Source organism: Homo sapiens, chromosome X (assembly GCF_000001405.40).
Source record: "Homo sapiens chromosome X, GRCh38.p14 Primary Assembly".
Classification (NCBI taxonomy): domain Eukaryota; kingdom Metazoa; phylum Chordata; class Mammalia; order Primates; family Hominidae; genus Homo; species Homo sapiens.
This window is the reverse complement of record NC_000023.11, coordinates 37,743,272-37,747,060: the sequence shown is the minus strand read 5'-3', so window position 1 is coordinate 37,747,060 and position 3,789 is coordinate 37,743,272. Positions and strand designations below refer to the sequence as shown.

Below are 3,789 nucleotides of genomic sequence, written 5' to 3'. Positions count from 1 at the left end.
ACATCTCTCGACAGTGCTCTCACAGAGAAACCAGGCCAGTTTTTGCAAGAATGGTTTGTTCATATACCTCACCCAGGCTGCAGAAGACCTGACCCCTTCCCTCACCTCAACAGCCACTCAGATGAGAATTTATTTCTTTATGGGTCCTTTGAGGAGTTGCCCTCCCCCAGGGTGTGGAGAATTACTGATGACTCAGAGACGCCAAACACCAGCTCTGAATCAGGGGACATGCCACCTCTAAGCCTCCCTTCGGGTTTCCCCACATGCCACAAGTCCACCAGGCTCCTGCAGCCCTGCTGGCGGTGTGAGGTCCCTCGCCTTAAGCCCAGCTACCCTTTGCCACTGGGCTGATTGCCTACCTGGGTACTATAGGGCCTCTTTCCCATAATGCTGGAGATGGGACCCTGAACTAAAGGACCACAGCCTTTCCAGAGCAGCAGATCGGCTGCCAAATCTGATCTGCAGAGCTATGAGTGGGGGGTGGCAAAGGGAAATTGTGGGTGTGGGTGGACATGGGGGTGATGGCGTTGCTCCACTTTTAGCAGCTGAAGGGAGAACATGTGGTGGCTTGGAGTACCTCAAAAGAGTGGGAGGTTAAGAGTAAGGTTTTGAAAGTCAGATGGTTTCAACTCAATGTTGGTTCTTCCCCTTATTGTCTGTGTGACTTTGCCGTTGACCAATTTTTTAACCTAGTCTGTGGTCTCCACTTGTGTAACTTCTACTTTTCATCTTGTTTTGAAGAATACATGTGATAATGCATATGAATCATGAATTGCCTCACATATAGCATGGGCTCATTAATAGTAGCTGCTATTATTAATGCATTGTTGTTATCATACTGGAGAAGAGAAAAAGGTGGAAAGACTTAGCCAGTGGCCCCTGGAATGCAGCTAAATGCAGGATGTAATGCCTGGGAACTGCACATATAGTGTACCCTATTACAGAAACTTGCCCTTCCTGGTTTGGCAGAGTGTGTCATGCTTGCCTGTTAGGAGGAGAAGCTTCTTGAGTAGCTGTGCTCAGAAGGACTCTGAAGCCATGGCAAGTCCCAGTGTGGTAACAGAGCCTCACACTGAGCATCTCGGCCTGTCATGGGTTTGGAGTGGTGAACATGGGCAGGCCAGCTGAGTATCTGTCTTCCCTTCCCCTTTAGGACTTAATATTTTGTGATTTAGTCATAATTTTTCAGGCTTTTCAAGATGGCTTGTTTTAAATGCATTATTTCTCATTGGGACTTTCAGGGGGTGATACGTAAGCCTCACCTACATTCCTGAAAGGCCACATTCTACAAGGCACATATTTGAGGAGGCTGTTAGGTGCATAATAGAGATGGGTCTAGCATTGGAGGGGAACAGAAGTGGTGGGAAAGAAACAACAAGTCACAGAATAAGAAATATAAAAGGGAGAAAATTAGAACACATGCAGCGTAAAACAGCAAGCTAAAACTCCTGCTGGGCCCTGATGCTAAGGCAGGGTCAATATTCTGTACCTCGATGAGCAAGCACTGCCACCTGCTGGCCAAGGGGAATGTGACTGCCAAGGGATTCCTTTGGAAATGGCATACATGCATACATCATTTTGTTGTGCTTTGAACATAATTGCATTTTTTTTTTTTTTTTTTTACAAATTGAAGGTTTGTGGCAGCTCTATCTCAATCAAGTCTATCGGCACCATTTTTCCAACAGCATGTGCTCACTTTGTGTCTCTGCTACATTTTGGTAATTCTCTGAAATGTTTTAAAGAAATGAAAAATTTCAAACTTTTTCACTATTATTGTATTTGTTATGATGATCTGTGATCAGTGATCTTTGATGTTACTATCGGAATTCTTCCACAAACCACACCCATATAAGACAGCAAATTTAATGGATAAACGTGTGTGCGTTCTGACTGTTCCACAAACTGACAGTTCCCCCATCTGTCTCCCACTCCTCAGCCCTTCCTATCCCTGAGACACAGCAATATTAAATTAGGCCAACTAATAACCCTACAGTGGCCTCTAAGTTTTCAAGTGAAAGGAAGAGTTACACATGTACACTTTCAACCAAAAGCTAGAAATGATTAAGTTTAGTGAAGAAGGCATGTTGAAAGCTGAGAGAGGCAAAAAACCAGACCTCTTGTGCCAAACAGCCAAGTTTTGAATGCAAAGGAAAAGTTCTTGAAGGAAATTAAAAGTGCCACTCCAGTCAACATAGAAATGACAAAAAGGAAAACAGCTTTATTTCTGATATGGAGAAAGTTTTAATAGTCGAGATAGAAGATCAAACCAGCCACAACATTCCCTTAAGCCAAAGCCTAATCCAGAGCAAGGCCCTAGCTCTTCAATTCTGTGAAGGATAAGAGAGGTGAGGAAGCTGCAGAAACAAAGTTGGAAGCTAGCAGAGGTTGGTTCATGAGGTTTAAAGAAAGAAGCTGTTTCCATAACATAAAAATGCAAGGTGAAGCAGCAAGTGCAGGTGGAGAAGCTGCAAAAAGTCACCCAGAAGATTCAGCTAAGATCATTGAAGAAGGTGGCTACACTAAACAACATATTTTCAATGTAGACAAACAGCCTTGTATTGGAAGAAGATGCATCTAGGACTTTCATAGCCAAAGAGGAGAAGACAATGCCTGGCTTCGAAACTTCAAAAGACACTGACTGTCTTGCTAGGGGCTAATGCTGCTGGTAACTTTAAACTGAAGACAATGCTCATTTACCATTCCAAAACTCCTAGGGCCAATATGAATTATGCCAAATGTACTCTGCCTGTGCTCTTGAAATGAAGCACATTTCTAGATGAAAGCACATCTGTGTACAACATGGTTTACTGAATAAGCCCACATAAACCTACTGTAGAGAAAAAAAATCCTTTCAAAATATTACTGCTCATTGACATTGCACCTGGTCAACCAAGAACTCTGATGGAAATGTGCATGGTGATGAATGTTGTTTTCATGTCTGCTAACATAGCATCCTTTCTGCAGCCCATGGATCAAAGAGTTGTTTAAACTTTCAAGTGTTATTATGTAAGAAATACATTTTGTAAGGCTGTAGCTGCCATACACAGTGATTAGTCTGATGGATTTAGGTAAAGGAAATTGAAAACCTTCTGAAAAAAGTTACCATTTAAGATGACATTAAGAACATTCATGATTCATGGGAGAAAGTCAGAAATATCAACATTAACAGGAATTTGGAATAAGTTAATTCTAACCCTCAGGGATAGCTTTGAAGGATACAAAACTTCAATGGAGGAAGCAACTGCAGATGTGGTAGAAATAGCAAGAGAGCTAGAATTAGAAGTGGAGTATAAAGAAGTGACTGAATTGCTGCAATTTCATTTTTTTGTTTTTAATTTTTGTAAGTATATAATAGGTGTATACATTCATGGGTCACATAAGATATTCTGATACAGGCATGCAATGCATAATAATCACATCCAGGTAAATGGGGTATTCATCACCTCAAGCATTTATCCTTTGTGTTACAAACAAATTACACTCTTCATTATTTTAAAATGTACAACTAAATTATTTTTGACTATAGTCACTTTGTGGTGCTGGCAAATACTAGGTCTTACTCATTCTTTCTAACTATGTTTTTGTACCACTTAACAATCCCCACTTCTTCCTGACCACACCCTCTCTGCCTCCAACCAATACCCTTCTCATCTTCTGGTAACCATCATTCTACTCTCCATATCCATGAGTTTAGTTGTTTTAATTTTTAGCTTTCACAAATAAGGAAGAACATGCAAAGTTTGTCTTTCTGTGGTTGGCTTATTTCACTTAACATAATGATCTCCAGTT

At 41.3% G+C, this 3,789-nt stretch overlaps 1 annotated feature.

The window, feature by feature from the left end:
- Positions 1,381–1,430: an enhancer, noted in NCBI's record as "active region_29518". NCBI's record gives its function as "activates an Ori minimal core promoter by ATAC-STARR-seq in GM12878 lymphoblastoid cells {active_cell/tissue: GM12878}" and the evidence as "EXISTENCE:reporter gene assay evidence [ECO:0000049][PMID:35858748]".